This window comes from Homo sapiens, chromosome 9 (assembly GCF_000001405.40).
Source record: "Homo sapiens chromosome 9, GRCh38.p14 Primary Assembly".
Classification (NCBI taxonomy): domain Eukaryota; kingdom Metazoa; phylum Chordata; class Mammalia; order Primates; family Hominidae; genus Homo; species Homo sapiens.
This window is the reverse complement of record NC_000009.12, coordinates 10,936,904-10,958,568: the sequence shown is the minus strand read 5'-3', so window position 1 is coordinate 10,958,568 and position 21,665 is coordinate 10,936,904. Positions and strand designations below refer to the sequence as shown.

Here is a 21,665-nt window from a genome sequence, read left to right as displayed (position 1 = left end):
TTTCTATAATATTCAGCAAGGATAACATAAAATTGAAGAATGCATAGAAGTATTCAATCCCTAATTTCTTCTGTATGTTTATCGACTTTCAAAATGGAGGCCTACTCATTCCTGGAGGATGCTGATATAAATGATGGTGAAGCTGCTGATGGCAAGGAGGTAAAAGATACCTCAGAAGAAATGAGGTCTAACCTTGTAGTTCCTAGCATTTTGATTTTAGGTCATTTTGTATTGTTTTGTATATGTTTTGCCAAAGCCAGAACAAGATACTTTATATAGTCTCAGTGAAAGCAGCAACAACTCATATTTAATAAGCATTTAATATGAACAGGAGGTGGTGTTGAGTGCTCTACAGACATTATCTCATGTATTGTCTCATAAGTAAAGAGTGCTTTTATTCTCATGTTTTTGACAAGAAAGTTGGCTGGCAGAGAGGTTAAGTAACCCACTCAAGTCAATAAGCTGATTACTGACCTGAGCCAAGATTTGGACCTAAACATTGTGCAATACATTATCTCATTTAATCTTGACAATCACCTCTGATCTTTGTACTCTGAAATGTAAACTGAAGTTTCAAAATGCTAAATAACCATAAATTTTTTTTCCATTAAAAAGGGTTTGAGCTTTACTTTAAGAAACAGAAAGAACTTGCAGTTGCCATATACTATGTTGTGAAGTCTATTAAAAAAAAGAAAAAAATAGATAAATTTACTCACCCTAGCTTTAGAAAAATGCGTTCATTGTAACTCACTTCATCAGACTTTCTGGGTCTTAATCTTGTGAGATGTGGAGACAATTCAAATCAATATAATTTATCAAAGTTAGAGTGTGTTTGAGGTCAGGAAGAGAGAAACCCCACAGCTATATAATATAATAATATAAGATTATATAATAATATAATAATACAATAAAAGAATAATCAAGTAATTTTTTTATTTTAAAAATGGACATTTAGGAAGCTGCAGATAGAGTTGTGCTTTCTCTGGGAAATCATTTTTATATATTTTAAGATGGAAAATGTTGATAATCTCAAGGTTCATGCACAATTTGAATACTGAATTCCTACCTCGACAAGAAATTTTTCATAAATTTCTGTAGTCAAAGAAGCAGACTACATTTTGCAGACTTTTAAATGTTCTGAAAGAGAACACAGCTTGTCATAGTCATTCATCTTAGTAAATATATTTTATTATATGCTCAGTGAAAGATGAGTCCCATTCTTCTCACTCCTATTCTTTACATTTTTAATCAGACTCCATAGCTCAAGGGGAAACTATTTATTTTTCTTTTTCTTCTTTAGGGTGATCAAAGACATTAAAAAATTATAAAATATAGAGACTTATTCCAGTGTGTTTGCTTTCAAGTTTCAATTGATGCAGTATTCATTTTTAGTATGCTATGGTGTCTTAATTGCTGGTATTTATCATGGGTTAATTTACTTATGTATAATTGTTTTTTCCTCACTTTTATCCTGTCCAAAGATAGTGCGCCAAAAAAATCCATCAAGAATCAGGAAATTTATTGAATCCGAATGGGGATACGCTTTGGCAATTGCTGTTAAAAAAAAAAAAAAAAAGCAGAATTCATGGATGTCAATGATGTTACCATTTACATAAAGATAATTTTTGTTGTGCTGTGTTTTAGTATCAAAGTAGAGAAAAGTATACCATATCAGTATCTCTCCAACTATTAGTTCAAAACTGGTACACTGAAAGATGTTACAGTTTAACTTTTAACTAGATTTAAAAATAAATTAGAAAAATTTGAACTTAAGACCCTTTCCTTTCCAAATAACATAGTTTTAACGACTATTTAACTTTTAATTAAAGGTTCAAGCAATTTATTCCCAATAAGTATTGTGACTATTAATCATAACTTGTAATAGCTTTTAAATTAACAGGTCTTTCATTTAACAAATCTTTGTGCAGCAGGGTAAAAAATAATTACATTTTATTTCTCTTAAATGTAATGTGTTGGTAATTAAAAATTCTAATTTTCTATGTGAAATAAATACTTTGATTTAAATTTAAAGGGAAATTAGCAAAGACTGCATTTTGTAATTTAAACTGAAGTCAAAGGATATACCTATTCATTTGTTAATTTTCCCTTAAACCTTCTTATCATTCTTTCTTTTTTGAAGATAATAGAATTTCCCTAGCAAAAATACCCTTCAGGGTATGTTCAAGACTTGTAAAACTCTGAAGTAAAGTAAATTAAGGTTGAAAAGTGCAAATAACGCTCCCCCCAAAAGTATAGATGTGGACGGGGCAGAGTATGTTTCCATACAATGACCTGGAAGCACCCTCTACACACTTCAGAAGATAATGTATTGATCAAAGTGCCTAAACATATTTTGAAATAGGAAAACTACATGGGTTACAGGCTGTTATCATATCCTATCACTAGAAAAGGTATTAAAGTTTCTAAGCATAGCTGATCATTGAGTTGCTAATCAGAAGTTCAGTATATCAGACCAACGCGATATGAACAAAATTTTCCTAAAATGTCAACTTATTAAGCTCACTAAAAGAACAAAGACAATTTCTTTCCTCAAAGACTAAAAGCAATATTATAAATAAAGGCATAAAATTAACCTTGTCGGTCTTAACTATTTCTTATAATTATAATTCAAGTCATATATAAAGTTTTAAGTGTATCTGATATGAAAAATGCCAAAATTAAAACACATGCATTCTGAAATTTAATAAACAGATGATATGACTAATTGCTTTAGATGGCAATGAAATAGTATGCAGAATTTTTGATTAAAACATTTAAAGTGATCAAATTAATTCTCTAGGTTCTTTAAAAATTTTTAGTCAAATTAGAATACATTTTTAAAGTAGCAAAAAAAGTTCTACATATCATTCTTGAAAAGTTATTCAAAATTTTTGTTTCATTTTTAAATCGGTACAAATGGCAAATTTGTTTCATTTCTGTAGATTCAGAATCAGTCATAAATATGAGTCATAATGCTTTTTCTTAACTTTTGGGAGAAACCATTTAAGTAAAAAAATAGACTCAGAGTAAAAATATAATTCTTGTCAACATTTGGCTTATGGACTCACCCTCTGTCTTCTCAACATTTCTGCCTTTATTGGCAATAAAAGAAGAAAGTTTAAATATAAAAGCATGAAATACTATAGATCGGCCTATTTTTGAGGATTCTAATATAACTGCTTCAACTGTTTAAAACATGCATTTCTCTTAATGTTTCTTGCAACAAGGCCACCCTACTGTATCAACTTATTCAGATAATTCATTAAATCCAGTGGGTAATAAAATTAGTTAGATCAGGCTTTTACCATAAAAAAAGAAAGAACTTGTTGCCTAAGTTTACCTTTAATATCTTACGTTTTTTTTAGCATAATGGCAATAGAATATAAGATTAAATTTGAAAACACTTGGATATAAAAGAGAAAAACATATGTTTTAAAATATATAATTATTATTCTAGATATAATTGAGGAATTATGATATAAGTGACTTAGAGATAAATATCAGAAAAATAAGTTAAAAACTTTAGGTAGGTTATAGGTACAACAGATTCCTAGCCTGGTATATGATGTTCCATTAGAGTATAAATTAAAGATTTAGGACAATAAAATATGATTTCCTTCTACTTTCTTTGTTTTCTGTTTAGCCTTGTAAAATCTACACAAATTTACCTTCTGAAGTTACTTGCATCTGAATATTTTATATTAATAGATATATCACTAATCAGTTTTAACAGATGACTGTTTGCATGTGGAAGAAGGAATGGGAAATACATCCATGATGAGAGATTAAAGATATCTAAAAATTCTTTGCTTCTTCTCTTATTTGGGTAGCAAATGGGAGTCCAATTCCCCTCTTCTGGAATCTGGGATGCATTTAGTGACTTGTTAGATTATTAGAATGTAGTGCAGACTACGTAATAGGAACTTCTGCAGCTTCAACCCGGGCTCATGGAACAATCTCGCTTTGAGCCAATATGGACCAAAAAAAAAAAAGGCAAGCAAACTCTGAGACCTTAGTATATAGGCCAGAGGACTGTTTCAGATCTACTACCAAGCCCATGAAGCTTTCCTCTTTTATAATATCAGAGCTTTTTTCACCTTGGCCTTTCATTTGATTCTTATAGTTTGTATTTCTCTGTTAAAATTTCCCATCTATGTATGCATGTTACTTATGTTTTTCATTAGATCCTTTAAAATATTAATACAGATATTTTAATATCATTATTGGAGAGTGGGTTATGGGTAATCTCTGAGTCAGATCTTTTTGATTGTGTTGTTTCTGGACAATGTGTTGGGGATTTTTTCCCCTTATGTTGTTACATACATTAAAATAGTATATGTTATCATTTTAAAAATTAAATACTGGATGTTATGTGTAAAACTGTAAATGCTGAGGCAAATAGTATTTACATCTTGAAATGAACATGCCTATTCTCTCAGGACATTAAAGTATGAGTTGGGATAGTCAAGGCAAGGAATGAGGTTTAAGTTTTGTTTTTACTTCGGCTATGGTTAATGTCAGTGACCCAGTCTTCAAATTCCTCCAGTGGTGGCCTGCTGTTTTATGCTTAAGGTGGGGACTTTAGTCTTAGAGGTTTTTTCTCAGTGTTAGTTCTTCATCAACAACTTTTAGCATTTTCTCCCCATCCTCCATCTCTCACCCTGTGCTTCTGCCTTTTCTTATCCTTAGACTTCTCTGTTAGGCTCATGTTGGGTCAGGAATGTTCTTTGTTCTGGTCCAGCCTCACTCTTAAACAGGCTCTTTGAATCTGAGACAAAATTGTGTGAACTTTCTCAGTATTTTTGCCCTTTTCTATGGCAGTCAAACTTTGCTTATGTTCGTAGCTGGTCTTAGGAGCTTCCTTTCCTTCCCTCAGTGGAATGAGTCCTGTGCTTGGTAGCAACAGAGTATCTTGGGCCCAAGATGGTTTTCTACCTCCCTTCAGTAATAGAGGGGTTTATTAGTTTTTTTCTACCCTTCCTCTAGCCACAAATGCCTTTTCCTATACCTTGAGAGCATCTATGCTGTCTCTGTATTTGTAGCTTAAGTCTTCTGCTTCCTATAAGAGAAGGGTCCAGAGAAATGAGCGTTATTATGCGCCTGTGACCCCACAATCACTGATCATGTACTAAATTTCGTCATTACTGATAGAGCTTTTTTTCAGTCTTCTCTCCTTCTTCCAATCTCTCTCTTTCTCTCTCTCTCTTCTGTTCTTTTCTTTTTTTGTTGTTTGTTTGCTTGCTTGTTTGTTTGGTTTTTGTAAGCACCCAGTGAAGGTATGTAGGAAAAAGCTAAAAGAGTATCATTTTCACTTAGGTCTGTGGCCCCAAACTGTTCAAAAATGACATGCTATCCTCTATTTGGCCTTTGGCCATTCATTAAAATTTACCTGATTTATTTATATTCACTTAAATGGTGGCCTGTGCCTCTTCCTCCAATGTGCTACCACAGGAGATACAATCTGTGTGCCCTGACTCTCCTTATACTTTTGTCTGCTTGGAATTCATGTTCCTTGGTTGCCTCATGCCTTCAGTTTTCCGATGGGTTCAAAGAAAGTTATAATCTGACTTTTTCTCATTGTTACTGTAAAAGCAACATTATTTAAAGCTTTTTACATCTTAAGTACAAATGGAAGTCCAGCTGATTTGTTATTATAGATGTATGTATAAAATAATTCTGAAACTTTTTATGAAGTATAATAGGATTGAGCAAATATCTAAATGTATGATGTTGCTGGAGCCAGAGTTCTTACTGTGAAGCAAGAGAGAAAGCAAGAAATAACTGTCTAGAAACAGAATCAGGGCTCATTGCTCAACAGTTTTCTAGATGGATATAAATTAGCAGAGAAGAAATATTTTGACAGTCCTTCTAATGCCTGAAATTTATCCCCTTCACAATGCTATAGAATTCTTTTTTTTTTTTATACTTTAAGTTTGAGGGTACATGTGCACAACGTGCAGTTTAGTTACATATGTACACATGTGCCATGTTGATGTGCTGCACCCAGTAACTCGTCATTTAACATTAGGTATATCTCCAAATGCTATCCCGCCCCGCCCCCTTCCCCCCACCCCATAACAGGCCGCAGTGTGTGATGTTCCCCTTCCTGCATCCATGTGTTCTCATTGTTCAATTCCCTTCTATGAGTGAGAACATGCGGTGTTTGGTTTTTTGTCCTTGTGATAGTTTGCTGAGAATGATGGTTTCCAGCTTCATCCATGTCCCTACAAAGGACATGAGCTCATCATTTTTTATGGCTGCATAGTATTCCATGGTGTATATGTGCCACATTTTCTTAATCCAGTCTATCATTGTTGGACATTTGGGTTGGTTTCAAGTCTTTGCTTTTGTGAATAGTGCTGCAATACACATACATGTGCATGTGTCTTTATAGCAGCATGATTTATAATCCTTTGGGTATATACCCAGTAATGGGATGGCTGGGTCAAATGGTATTTCTAGTTCTAGATCTCTGAGGAATCGCCACACTGACTTCCACAATGGTTGAACTAGTTTACAGTCCCACCAACAGTGTAAAAGTCTTCCTATTTCTCCACATCCTCTCTAGCACCTGTTGTTTCCTGACTTTTTAATGATTGCCATTCTAACTGGTGTGAGATGGTATCTCATTGTGGTTTTGATTTGCATTTCTCTGATGGCCAGTGATGATGAGCACTTTTTCATATGTCTTTTGGCTGCATAAATGTCTTCTTTTGAGAAGTGTCTGTTCATATCCTTTGCCCACTTGTTGATGGGGTTGTTTGTTTTTCTCTTGTAAATTTGTTGGAGTTCATTGTAGATTCTGGATATTAGTCCTTTGTCAGATGAGTAGATTGCAAAATTTTTCTCCCATTCTGTAGGTTGTCTGTTCACTCTGTTGGTAGTTTCTTTTGCTGTGCAGAAGCTCTTTAGTTTAATTAGATCCCATTTGTCAATTTTGGCTTTTGTTGCCATTGCTTTTGGTGTTTTAGGCATGAAGTCCTTGCCCATGCCTATGTCCTGAATGGTATTGCCTAGGTTTTCTTCTAGGGTTTTTAGGGTTTTAGGTCTAACATGTAAGTCTTTAATCCATCTTGAATTAATTTTTTATAAGGTGTAAGGAAGGGATCCAGTTTCAGCTTTCTACATATGGCTAGCCAGTTTTCCCAGCACCATTTATTAAATAGGGAATCCTTTCTCCATTTCTTGTTTTTGTCAGGTTTGTCAAAGATCAGATAGTTGTAGATATGCGGCATTATTTCTGAGGGCTCTGTTCTGTTCCATTGGTCTATATCTCTGTTTTGGTACCAGTACTATGCTGTTTTGGTTACTGTAGGCTGGTAGTATAGTTTGAAGTCAGGTAGCGTGTTGCCTCCAGCTTTGTTCTTTTGGCTTAGGATTGACTTGGCAATGCGGGCTCTTCTTTGGTTCCATATGAACTTTAGAGTAGCTTTTTCCAGTTCTTTGAAGAAAGTCATTGGTAGCTTGATGGGGACGGCATTGAATCTGTAAATTACCTTGGGCAGTATGGCCATTTTCATGATATTGATTCTTCCTACCCATGAGCATGGAATGTTCTTCCATTTGTTTGTATCCTCTTTTATTTCCTTGAGCAGTGGTTTGTAGTTCTCCTTGAAGAGTTCCTTCACGTCCCTTGTAAGTTGGATTCCTAGGTATTTTATTCTCTTTGAAGCATCTGTGAATGGGAGTTCACTCATGATTTGGCTCTCTGTTTGCCTGTTATTGGTGTATAAGAATGCTTCTGATTTTTGCACATTGATTTTGTATCCTGAGACTTTGCTGAAGTTGCCTATCAGCTTAAGGAGATTTTGGGCTGAGACTATGGGGTTTTCTAGATATACAATCATGTCATCTGCAAACAGGGACAATTTGACTTCCTCTTTTCCTAATTGAATACCCTTTATTCCCTTCTCCTGCTTGATTGCCCTGGCCAGAACTTCCAGCACTATGTTGAATAGGAGTGGTGAGAGAGGGCATCCCTGTCTTGTGCCAGTTTTCAAAGGGAATGCTTCCAGTTTTTGCCCATTCAGTATGATATTGGCTGTGGGTTTGTCATAGATAACTCTTATTATTTTGAGATACGTCCCATCAATACCTAATTTATTGAGAGTTTTCAGCATGAAGGGCTGTTGAATTTTGTCAAAGGCCATTTCTGCATCTATTGAGATAATCATGTGGTTTTTGTCATTGGTTCTGTTTATATGTTGGATTATGTTTATTGATTTGTGTATGTTGAACCAACCTTGCAACCCAAGGATGAAGCCCACTGATCATGGTGGATAAGCTTTTTGATGTGCTGCTGGATTCGGTTTGCCAGTATTTTATTGAGGATTTTTGCATCGATGTTCGTCAGGGATATTGGTCTAAAATTCTCTTTTTTGTTGTTGGGTCTCCACAGGCTTTGGTATCAGGATGATGCTGGCCTCATAAAATGAGTTAGGGAGGATTCCCTCTTTTTCTATTGATTGGAATAGTTTCAGAAGGAATGGTACCAGCTCCTCCTTGTACCTCTGGTAGAATTCGGCTGTGAATCCATCTGGTCCTGGACCTTTTCTGGTTGGTAAGCTATTATTTATTGTCTCAATTTCAGAGCCTGTTATTGGTCTATTCAGAGATTCAACTTCTTCCTGGTTTAGTCTTGGGAGGGTGTATGTGTCCAGAAATTTATCCATTTCTTCTAGATTTTCTAGTTTATTTGCATAGAGGTGTTTATAGTATTCTCTGATGGTAGTTTATATTTCTGAGGGATCGGTGGTGATATCCCCTTTATCATTTTTTATTGCGTCTATTTGATTCTTCTCTCTTTTATTCTTTGTTAGTCTTACTAGCGGTCTATCAATTTTGTTGATCTTTTCAAAAAACCAGCTCCTGGATTCATTGATTTTTTGAAGGGTTTTTTGTGTCTCTATTTCCTTCAGTTCTGCTCTGATCTTAGTTATTTCTTGCCTTCTGCTAGCTTTTGAATGTGTTTGCTCTTGCTTCTCTAGTTCTTTTAATTGTGATGTTAGGGTGTCAATTTTGGATCTTTCCTGCTTTCTCTTGTGGGCATTTAGTGCTATAAATTTCCCTCTACACACTGCTTTGAATGTGTCCCAGAGATTCTTGTATGTTGTGTCTTTGTTCTCATTGGTTTCAAAGAACATCTTTATTTCTGCCTTCATTTCGTTATGTATCCAGTAGTCATTCAGGAGCAGGTTGTTCAGTTTCCATGTAGTTGAGCCATTTTGAGTGAGTTTCTTAATCCTGTGTTCTAGTTTGATTGCACTGTGCTCTGAGAGACAATTTGTTATAATTTCTGTTCTTTTAAATTTGCTGAGGAGTGCTTTACTTCCAACTATGTGGTCAATTTTGGAATAAGTGCGGTGCGGTGCTGAGAAGAATGTATATTCTGTTGATTTGGGGTGGAGAGTTCTGTAGATGTCTATTAGTTCCCCTTGGTGCGGAGCTGAGTTCAATTCCTGGATATCCTTGTTAACTTTCTGTCTCGTTGATCTGTCTAATGTTGACAGTGGGGTGTTAAAGTCTCCCATTATTATTGTGTGGGAGTCTAAGTCTCTTTGTAGGTTTCTAAGGACTTGCTTTATGAATCTGGGTGCTCCTGTATTGGGTGCATATATATTTAGGATAGTTAGCTCTTCTTGTTGAATTGATCCCTTTAGCATTATGTAATAGCCTTCTTTGTCTCTTTTGATCTTTGTTGGTTTAAAGTCTGTTTTATCAGAGACTAGGATTGCAACCCCTGCCTTTTTTTGTTTTCCATTTGCTTGCTATAGAATTCTATAATATTTAACAATAAGACTTGCTGAAAGTAAAAATACTATTATAATATTTATAACCAAATAAGCCACTCTTCTTACCAGTTTGTAAATGTGTCCTTGAACACCAAAAGTAAATGATATAACTTATCAAGGCAAATAATTATAAGATAAAAATATTTTATAGAATAAAGAGTAAATTACTTTTCTTGTGTTTGCTATGCTGAGTATTGTAAATGGATATTCACTTGTATAACCATTTCTATTGATAAAACAAACAGCACGTTCATTTATATATATATTATTTTTGGTAAAATACCTCTCTTCTTTAGGTTTGCTATGAAGAAAGCCATCATTCTACCATCAAAATACATTTATGAAGATGAAGTGAGATTGGCAAAGAGAAAACTGAATGTCCCTGAATAAAACCTCTGTATCTGGATAATTACGTTTCTGTGAATCATTTTTGAGAAGTTTGTACATTTCAAGATTTCATTTTGGAACTGAAATGAAAATGAAAGAATCTGTTCTTATAAGATTTGCAGAAATTCTTCTGACTGAAATGGTCTAGATGGCTGATACAAGTACATGAACTTTTTCACTTTTTCATAAAGCCTCTTCTGCCTCCGTTACTTTGCCAGCCATCTACCTTGCAGCTGTTATGTCTGACTTCATTCTTGATTTCTCCCACCTGATTTCTTTCTTTCTTTCTTTTTTTTAAGTCCACTTTATTTCTCTTGCTAATCACACTCCTCTCCTTTCTCCTGGAGGTAATCATGATCTGACTTTTATGTTAATCATTCTCACTTTTTCTTTTCTTTCTTCTTCTTTTTTTTTTCAGTTATACTTTGAGTTCTGGGATACATGTGCAAAACGTGCTGGTTTGTTACATAGGTATACATGTGCCATGGTGGTTTGCTGCACCCATCAACCCGTCATCTACATTAGGTATTTCTTCTAATGCTATCCCTCCCCTACCCCACAACCCCTGCTTTCTTATTACAAACTTTTGTGTCTGACTTCACCAAAGTATGAGCTTTTTACTCATTTCTCAACGTATTGCAAACATGGAGGCCAAAACCCTCTTTTGATTAACGTAACCTCTTTTCAAGATTTCCAATATTCGAGCTTCCTCCTCTCTAACCTGATCAAACTCTATTTACATCTTCTTTCCTAGTTGATCTGATTACAGTAGAGACTTAATTTTTAAAAATTATGTCTGAGTAAAACTAGTGTTATCTATCAGTAGGCATTATAATACAAAAGTGCTGGGAAGCACTTTAAATAATGCCGAAGGGAGGAAGGGAAGTGCTGGGTAGAGGAGAGTGTGGTCCCTGGCTAAGGCTCCACCCCCACAGACCTAAGTGAAGACAGACACTCCTGCCTTCCCACTCAAATGTTACATTTCCCAAGACCACCCTGGCTCACCACACCCCCATCCTGGGCCTATAAAAACCCGAGATCCTAGCAGGCAGGCACAGAGGTGGCCAGACATCCAGAGGAGCACATCCGCAGAAGAAAAAGCAAGGGGATGTGGAGAGGAGCATGTCAGCAGTCACCTGCTCACCAGCGAGCCATCGACCAGCAGAACAACGCGAAGTTGGGCCGGGGCAGTGGAGGAGAGCCCGAGCCGCCAGCGGCCCGACTCCAGGTGAAAACCATTTCCCTTCTGGCTCCCCGCTCTGCTGAGAGCTATTTGCACTCAATAAAACCTTGCACTCATTCTCCCATCCCACATATGATCCGATTCTTCCTGTACACCAGAGCGAAAGCCCTGGGATACAGAAGTACCTCTGTGCTTGTGATAAGGAAAGGGCTGTAATTGAGCTGGTTAACACAAGCCGCCTATAGATGGCAAACTAAGAGAGCGCCCCGTAACACGCGCCCACTGGGGCTTCAGCTCTAAATATTCACACCTAGACACTGCCATGGGGTCGGAGCCCCACAGCCTGCCCTTCTGTATGCTCCCCTAGAGGTTTGAGCAGTGGGGCACTGAAGAAGCGAGCTCCCATCGCACGTCCTGCGAGAGGGACAAGGGAAACTTTCCCGTTTCAATTATTGTATATCACTCACTTCTTTTGCTCATTTCTATTTTTGAAATAATTTTCCATGTATCTGGCAGAGTTTTGTGAGGACGTTAGTTTACTGAAAACTATTTTGTGTAATATATTGTTGACTTGGGAAAGTTTGTTTATCGGGCTTATTTCTGGGAGCAGATCAAAATTTTAGTGGAATGTCGTGTATATGCTCTTTGAGCACTGGGAAAGAATGTGTGTTCAGCTGTTATTGAGTAGAGTGTTCTAAAAATATGAATTAGCTCAAGTTGGTTGACAGTTTTATTCAGGTCATCTACATTCTTATTGGCCTAATACTCATTTGTTCTGTCAAATACTGAGGAAAGGTATTGCAGTTGCCAACCATAAATTTATCAATTTGCCTTTCCAAATCCATTTTTGTCACGTGTGTTTTGAAATTCTATTGTTAGATACACTTACGTTTAGAATTACTATATCTTTTTGAAAAACTATCCCTTTTATCAGTATGTAATGACTCTCTTTATCCCTGATCATATTTTTTTTCTGAAATTTATTTTTTCTGATACTAATATAACTATATCTGTTCTCGGAGTTAGTGTTTGTATGGTATATTCCTTTTACAGCCTTTAGTTTTTAGCCTATGTTTTTATATTTGGAGTGAGTTTTGTTAAAAAAAAAAAGCTTATGTTTTTATCAGTTTATATGGTATTCAGCAGCTTGTGTTCCAAGTAAATAGTTTGTTTCTATTCAGGTATCTGTCCCATTCTGAATTTGAGGTTAGTTGTTTGCCATGTGACTCCAGTTTTTTGATGGATTCAAGGAATATTATTAAACGTGCTTTGACCCACTTTTTTCTGGTTATGAAGGTATAAGTTATGATACATATATATACAATTTATGTGGCTTTTTATTTTTTGTAGGTATTTCAGTACAGTGTTAATTACGGTGATACTAAACATCTTTATATTCTTTTCTCATTTCAAGGAGTAAGCTTTAAATATTTCTTCATAAGCTGGAAAGCCTTTTCCTATTTATTTTCTAGAAGAGTTTGTGTAAATTGGTGTTAGTTATCCCTTCCTTAAATAATTAGTGGAACTCAATGATACAGTTTTCTGTGTCTAGATTTTTTTTAGTGTGTGTAAATATTTATTATTAAGTGTATAATTAAGTTAATAAATACAAAACTATTTTCATTGTAGTTCTTTTGAATGGATTTTGTGGTGTTTTCTAGAAAGACTGTCATTTCATTTAAAATTCATTTCATTTGAAAATAATTTTTCATAATATCCTACAACTTTCTGATTAATACCTAAAAAATGTATAATGGTGATACTTTTTTCTTTTTTTCTTTCCTGATATTAATTTCTGCCTTTCTCTTTCTTATCATATTTGCCACTGGTTTATTAATTTCATTCTTTTTTTAAAAAACAACTTTGGGCTTTGTTGATACTTATTTTACATTTGTATTATAGTTTATTGTTATTTTTATACTTATTTCCATAGTTTTGTGGGAAACAGGTGGTATTTGGTTACATGAGTACAATTTAGTATGTTTTGCTATTTTCTTTGTTATTTAATATTTTCTAATACCTTTAGTTTTTGAGATCAATACACTCCTCAATATATTAGTTTTCAGCCATTCATTTTCACAAATTTGTTTATGGATGTAAATTTTCCTCTAAACACTTGATTTGTAGCATTGTATAGGTATTGATATAACATTTTTTCATTATCTTTCAATTAATATATTGTCTAATTCTAATTGTTATTGATTCTTTAGACCATGGATTATTTATAAATGTGTTGTTAACTTTCCTAATAATTACGGATTTCTTGTTATTTTCTTACCCATTTCTATGTGCTTTCAGGAGTAGAGACAGACAATTATCTGTAAGCTTTTTATTCTTTGAAATTTGATGAGATTAGATTTAGGTTCTAGAACCTATATATGTTCTAGGATTATTTGGAGATATGTTTCACATGAATATGAAAAGAAATTGCTATGCACAGTGTTTTATAAATGGCAATTCAATAAAAACTTTTACTTTTTAAAAAAATCTTCTATATCCTTACTGAATTCTTAATATATTTTCTCTAAGTTACTGAGAAAAATGTGTTAAATCTCATTTGCTGTTGTTGATTTTTCTATTTCTCCTCATCCTATAAAGTGTTGCTTTTTATATTTAGCAGTATGTTTACAGGGCTATAGTACAATTGCTATTTATACTCAGTGAAATGTTTTTTTTATCTCTATGAAATATATCTCATAATGTCTTATAATAAATTTGTCTTAACATTTAATTTGCTTGATATTGAGATATTTTAATAAGATTTTTTGATATTTTATGTGTAGTATGACTTGTTCACACTTCTACTTTTTAATTTTCTCCATTCTTACTTTTTTAAGATGTCTGTTTTAAAAACATAACCAACATTCTTTGTTTTAATGTAAGTTGATAAAAGCCAAGTGTGGTGGCTCACACCTGTAATCCCAGCACTTTGGGAGGCTGATTTGGGCAGATCACCTGGGGTCAGGAGTTTGAGATCAGCCCGGCCAACATGGTGAAACCCCACCTCTACTAAAAATACAAAAATTAGCCAGGTGTGATGGCAGGTGCCTCTAATCCCAGCTACTCAGGAGGCTGAGGCAGGAGAATCACTTGATCCCATAAGGCAGAGGGTGCAGTGAGCCGGGATGGCACCACTGCACTCCAGTCTGGGTAACAGAGTGAGATTCTGTCTCAAATAATAATAATAATAATAATCTCTCTATCTATATATGCTAATAAAAATCTTCCCTAAACTGGAATATTTGAAAATTTATATTTGATATATTTACTAACTTATTTTAGTTAAAATCCATAATCTACTTGTCTTGCCTATTCTATGTCCTTTTTCTCTCTCCATAAGTGATTTTTCAAAAAGAATCATTCTTGGTTTTCTTATTAGAGGTGTGTGTGTGTCTGTTTATATATGTATGTATATGTGTGTGTGTGTGTGTGTGTGTGTGTGTGTATACAGTTCCATGCTTATTGGTTACCCAACAGACTATAAGTTTCATTTCTTTTTTATTTGACACCGACATAAAATATGACCTTTACCAATTTTGGGATGACATAAGAAGCTTAGAACGCTATTTCTTTTATCTCCTTTCACATGTTGTATCACTGTTTTCATATATTTTTACTCTACTCATATTTTAAACTTGACAAGATGTTACTGCTATTCAATACAGCAAATTCTCATTTATGTTTCCTAATATATTGATATTTTAATAGCTTTTAATTCTTTTGTATATATCCTAGATTACAATTAGTTCCCCAGGAGACCTCAATAAGCATCTCTTTCTTCAGGTTCATATCTGATTAACATATAATCTATTACTTTTTTTACTACATTTTAATTTTGAAGGATACATTTTATTAGTTTTAGAATTCTAGCCTGATCGTTATTTTCTTTCAGGACTTGGATGATGTTATTTTATTACCTCCAGAATCCCATCATTTTTGCTGTGAATTCAGCTGTCAGAATAACCTTTGCTCATTTGAAGGTAATGTGTCTTTTGCTCCCCACTTGATGACTTTATGGTTTTCTTTTGTCACTGGTTTTACTTTTACTCTGATGGTTCTGGCAGTGACTTTCTTTGTATTTATCTTACCTTGAGTTTGAAGAGCCCCTTAAATTTGGGTTCTTCTACTTTCTTCAGATCTAGAAAATTTTTGGCCTTTAGATCTTCTAAAAATGTTTCTGCTTTGTATTTTTTTCTCCCCTCTGTGTCTCCAGTTACACTTATGAAAGACTTTCACCATTTTTATATACATATTAGGCTCTTGTAAGTACATTACAACCTTTATTCTCTACATTTGAATATTTTTCTTCTGGATATTTTCTCCTGATTCAGTGATCCCCTCTTCTTTTATGTCTAATCTGTGGGTAAGTCTTCTAGTGTATCTACATTAAATGAAAATATCCTTCATGTCATCTGTATAAGTCTGTTCTCACATTGCTATAAATAGCTGAGACTGGGTGATTTAGGAAGAAAAGAGATTTAATTGACTCACAGTTCCACAAGCTGTAAGGAAGCACGGCTGGGAGGCCTCAGTAAACTTATAATCATGGTGGAAGGCAAAGGGGAAGCAAGCATGTCTTGCGCCATGGGAGGAGAGAGAGGAGAAAATGCCACACACTTTTAAACCATCAGTCCTCATGAGAACTCACTCACTATCATGAGAACAGCAAGGGAGAAATCTACCCCTATGATCCAATCACCTCCCACCAGTCCACTCCTCCCATCTGACATGAGATTTGGATGGGGACACAAATCCAAACCATATCATCATCTTTTTTTTTTCTTTTTCTCTGATAAGTACAATTTTTAGATCACTTCTTAGTTAGATTCCATGTGTTTGCTTGTTTACTTTTCTCACTTTTTATTACTTTGATTTTATCTTCTGTCATCCCAGTACTTAAAAATATATATATTATTGGTCATTTTAAATGAAAAGAAACTGAGACTATAAATACAGTTCTCTTTCTCTTGAAAAATATTGTTATATCACGTTGTTAGATGTAGTCAGTTGTGCAGATTAATTTATTTCATTTTGGGATTAAGTTTGGTCCCAGCTATACTCCATACTTGATATTTTGTTATGACTAGTTTATTTCCAATCCACTCTTACTCTTATTTGTAGCACTGCAGGATCGTGTGTGTGTGTGTGTGTGTGTTGTTTGTGCTATCTATCAAGACTTCCAGTACATACTCGGCTCTCATGTACATTTTTTTTTTCCACTCGGCACTAGAAAATTCCTGAAAGCTCTCCTCTGCTTCCTAGCCTATTAGCCATCACTCTCTTGGTGTTAAGCTTGTTGTTTCAGTACCACTTAGAAACCAATAAATGTCTGGACTTTAAAAAGTGCCTTCAAATCCTGGGCTCATTTCAAAGTGCTTTGTTTCACTTTAACATATTAGTTTTCACTGAGTTGGTGGCCCAGAAACTCGAATTTTGTTTTCCTGACCCACAGCATTGTGGAAAGTTAATATCTGCTTATCAGCTATTGCCACCACTTTCTCCTTGGATTTTATCCCTCGGAAATTATCCCTTTCAAAATGATGAGAGCCTTGTGGGGGAAAATATTGAATAATTAAAATCTGTTTCAAAATTCTTTTCTTTTCTTTGTGATTTTTGCTCTTCAAGCCCCGGATGTTTTGGTGTACCTCTGATGTCTTCAAGGAGATACTTTTTGTATTTTTCAGTTATTCTCAATGATGAGCTGATATGGAAAAAGTATGCCATTATTCTACCAGTTCTTTTACTATTTTTATTCATTGATTTTATGTACTGAATTCCATGTCCCCAGCTTCACTTTTACAACTAAATTTCATATATACATTGCAGAAAGTCTTCTACTTATTTTACCTTATTTTTATATTTAGAATCTCCAGTACATAAACAGGGAAAACACATCTCAGAATGATTAATTGTCTTGACCCTTAAGTCAAATTAAGGGAATAATTTGGGGGGAGGGAATCTATTTACACTAATCCAAAATTACCTTTTCTTTGTGTTTCCCTGGCTGTATCCCCTATCTATTTGGGAAAACTTTATTCATTCTCTAATACTAAAGAGTAACATTTTTGTACTATATTTTGCTCAAAAGTACAGTGAATTTTGCCGGGCGCGGTGGCTCACGCCTGTAATCCCAGCACTTTGGGAGGCCAAGGCAGGCGGATCATGAGGTCAGGAGACCGAGGGCATCCCGGCTAATACGGTGAAACCCCATGTCTACTAAAAAATACAAAAAATTAGCCGGACGTGGTCGCGGGCGCCTGTGGTCCCAGCTACCCGGGAGGCTGAGGCAGGAGAATGGCGTGAACCCGGGAGGCGGAGCTTGCAGTGAGCCAAGATCATGCCACTGCACTCCAGCCTGGGCGACAGAGAGAAACTCCATCTCAAAAAAAAAAAGAAAAAAGAAAAGAAAAAAAGTATAGTGAATTTTGTTCATGCTGCTGTGCAATGTCAGAGGAAGCAGAAATGAAGAACTAGGCAATTTTTCCTGCTTTCTTTTAGTTAGGAAGTATGCTTATTTGTGAACTTTGTCAAAGGATAGGGACAAAAGAAAGGGCATGGTGCTGTTTTTGTTATTTGTGTCATTGTGACTAGAGGGTATGGTACTGTAATAACAGAAAGTGAAAGTGCCTTTCCAGTTGATAAGAGAAAGGGGGAGAAAAGTAGCACTAACATTACAATTCTCTCAAGGGATTTTATCAAACATGGAAGATATTTTAGGTTCATGCTTCTGTAATATCTTACCTTCATTTTTATTTCACCTCAGACCTCATCCATTTGGGCAGATTCAATTCCAGAAGGAGTAGCCAAGAATGAATCTTCAGAGGCTGAAATGCAAAAAAATCCCATGGCACCAGAAAGGTTCTATGCTGTTCCTATGGTCACCTCTTTTTAAGTGATCCACTTATTACTGGTTAAATTTTAGTTCTCAGGATGCCAATGTGATATTTAGCAGAGCATTTTACCTTTAAGGATACAAAAATTCTAGACACAATTATGAATGACCTTGAAATGGTAAGCCAGCACACTCTGCAGAATCAACAGCCAGAAAGGATTCAGTAGTGAGTCCAATAAGGTGAAAAGGAACTTTGTGAAGAAAGGGAGCTTTGAAGAAGAGATGGTGATAGTGAAGAGTGGGAGGATGAGCAAGTAGATTAAACAGAAGTCATACTGATGTGGCTGTGCCAGACTGTTCACGCTGCTTTTGAAGCTGAAATTTGATTCCCACAAAAATGACAGATGTTGCAGTTTTGGCCAATTAAGGGACAAAAAACTCTAATAATTGTATGCTCTGCTGGCTATATAACAGGCATTTGAACACTAGTTGGGTAGTCAATGACAATCAAACGTGAACATGCAGCTTATTGCTAGGTAAAAAAAAGAAGTAAAGAAAGGCATCAATACCAAAAAAAAATACATTCATAAGTAAGAACTGACAGATGAAATGCAAGTTACAGAAAACATTTTACTATACAAAAGTCAGAGAGAAACACTTGCATGTCATGTGTAATGCATGTAATTTTATGTTCATTTTCAATTGGGTGAACTGTTATCTAAATGTTAATTCCAACATTGCATCTGAAAAGTAAAATTTTTAAGAAGATAATCATTAAATCAATAACAAATTTTACAACATATTATTTCATTTAGTAGATTCTCTCCCCTTACTTTTTGTCTCTCTCTCACACACACACACCACAAACACACACACATGTACACATATAAGCACACATGTACATGTTAGAGAATGTTAATTAATTACTAGGGCTTTTCCAAGATCAACAGTATAGGGAATATGAAAACATGGGTCTCTATATCTGTTTTACCTTCTTTATTTCCTAATTCCTACATTGATTCTACAGAGAAACCCTCATTTAAGTTTTATTTGATGGGTTGTGGGCAATATATCCTCTTGACACTGCTATTACTTAGCTTTCAAGTAACAATACATTGCATTAAAAATGAGGAATGGCAGGATTACTTAAAACAATTAGTTCTAGAAATTTTGGAATTTTTGATTCAACAAGGATTCTACAGTTTGTCTACTCCAAGCTTCTTTTTTATGGAAAAGTTAAACCAAGACAAAAGTTTTTGTGACTTGCCCAAGTTCCCATGACATCATAGATGTGGAACAGGGAATAATGACATTTACACATTTATACTAGAAATTATATACAGTTTATAGCTGTGCTCAGAGATTTATATAAATACGACATAACTTGCTTTGTCATTCTCTCTAAACTTATAACTGAAACCCAATTAAAATGAGTTTGAGGGCCTGGCATGGTGGCTCATGCCTGTAATCTCAGCACTTTGGGAGGCCACAGCAGGCAAATCACTTGAGGTCAGGAGTTCGAGACCAGCCTGGCCGACATGGTGAAACCCTGTCTCTACCAAAAAATTACAACTATTATCTGGGTGTGGGGTGTGGTAGTGCATTCCTGTAATCCCAGCTACTTGGGAGGCTGAGGCAGGAGAATCGCTTGAACCTGAGAGGCGAAGGTTGTAGTGAGCCAAGATCCTGCCGCTGCACTCCAGCCTGGGCAACAGAGTGAGACTTCATTTCAATAAATAAATAAATAACATAAAAATTAGTTTGAGAGATACAGAGAGAGAGAGAGACAGAGTGTATGTGTGTGTGTGTGTGTGTGTGTGTGTTTGTGTTGGTATATTTGTACTCATCAAGCTAATCGTAAAATAAAATATTGGCCGGGCACGGTGGCTCACCCTTGTAATCTCAGAACTCTGGGAGGCTGAGGCAGGAGGATTGCTTGAGCCCAGGAGTTCGAGACCAGCCTGGGCAACACGGCAAAACCCCGTCTCTACAAAAAATAGAAAAATTAGCTGGGCATGGTGACATATGCCTATCGTCCCAGCTACTTGGGGGCCTGAGGCAGGAAGGTTGCTCGAGCACAGGCAGTCAAGGCTGCGGTGAGCAAAGATTGCACTCCTGCACTCCAGCCTGGTTTGACAGAGTGACACCCTGTCTCTCCTGCCTCACTTCAAAAAGAAATATGTTTTTTCTAAAAGATTGACACAGTTCATTTTTCATCTGTGTAATTGATTATGATCCCCTTTGGTGATTGCCATTCGAACCAATAAATTCTATTTCGATGTTGACAGCAAAGTTTCAGCAACACAAGGAGACTGTCGGTCATTTCTTTCTAGGACTTATGTTGAATTCGAGTACATATATATGAGTCTCTTTGTATACTGAATATAGATCTCCACAGATCCCATAATATTGAACCCTTGTAAATCATACCTCTGTAGATTATGAAAATATTGTTTATGCATGTACTGTAGAAGGATCCTCAAATCATGTATTGCACAAGAGAGAGTGATCACCATAATGAATGACTATCTCAAAATGTAGGCTATTCTTATGTATACATAATCTAAAATGGAATTGAAAGAATTTAAGCAGCATGGGACTGAATTCAAGGTCAAACGAAAAATTTACTTATGGGACTTATATTAGGAAATCAACAGCATTTTATAAACAATGACTATTTGGTTTGGGATTATCTAAATTGTTTTATGTATACCTTGGATTTTCTAAGTAATTAATCGTCTTCAAAATAAAATCAAACATCTTGCTTAGGGTATTTCTTAATTTTTTATAAATTAACTAGCTATCTACCTTCCTCTTATTCATAAAATTAAAAAATATAATTGAAACAGATTTCAATTCAATATAGAATTAGATAATTAAAGTAAATTTTAAAATAAATTTTTAAAAAGACCTGTGAGAGAGGGAATATTTTGACTACCTAGACTAATCCTACTGTAATCAAAGGCAAATTTATTTCTGAATATCCAGAAACCAAGTGAAAAGGAAAATATGATGTATTCTTTTATCGCTGCCTTGTTCATACATTTATCAAGTATTAATTGATGTGCTAGGCATTGCATTAGGCAAAATTTACAGAAGTATTAAATTGTGGAATATTTCTTCAAAATGAAACAAGTAGTAAATTGGAGGCTTTTAACCAGTTATTTTTGAATGATAGAGGAATAACAGACTTTCAAATACATCTTTTTATTTTACTACATGCTCAACATAGAAATGTTCAAAGTGAACGAAGAAAAATGTAAAAAAAAATAAACAAACCCTGTTTTGATACTCTACCAGCATTTATTTGGAAATGAGTATATGAGCAATCCTCCACATTTTAAATATTAAATCTACATATACATCTGTAATAACATATTGAAATATTGCAAAATAATATTTTGTAAATAGCTCATAATTCAGACAACAGCCAGGTTCCTCTGGTTGCTTTCTTTTTTGCTGTTTTCTCTTA

The 21,665-nt window shown here is 35.0% G+C and overlaps 1 long non-coding RNA gene across 1 annotated transcript; it reads left to right on the top strand.

Annotated features, from left to right (window-relative positions):
• The first annotated feature begins 16 nt into the window (after positions 1 to 16).
• On the top strand, positions 17 to 10,200 carry LINC03131 (long intergenic non-protein coding RNA 3131). Its single transcript, XR_007061416.1, has 2 exons — positions 17 to 159; positions 10,088 to 10,200. It is a non-coding gene; the product is annotated as a long intergenic non-protein coding RNA 3131 (long non-coding RNA).
• Positions 10,201 to 21,665: the final 11,465 nt, after the last annotated feature.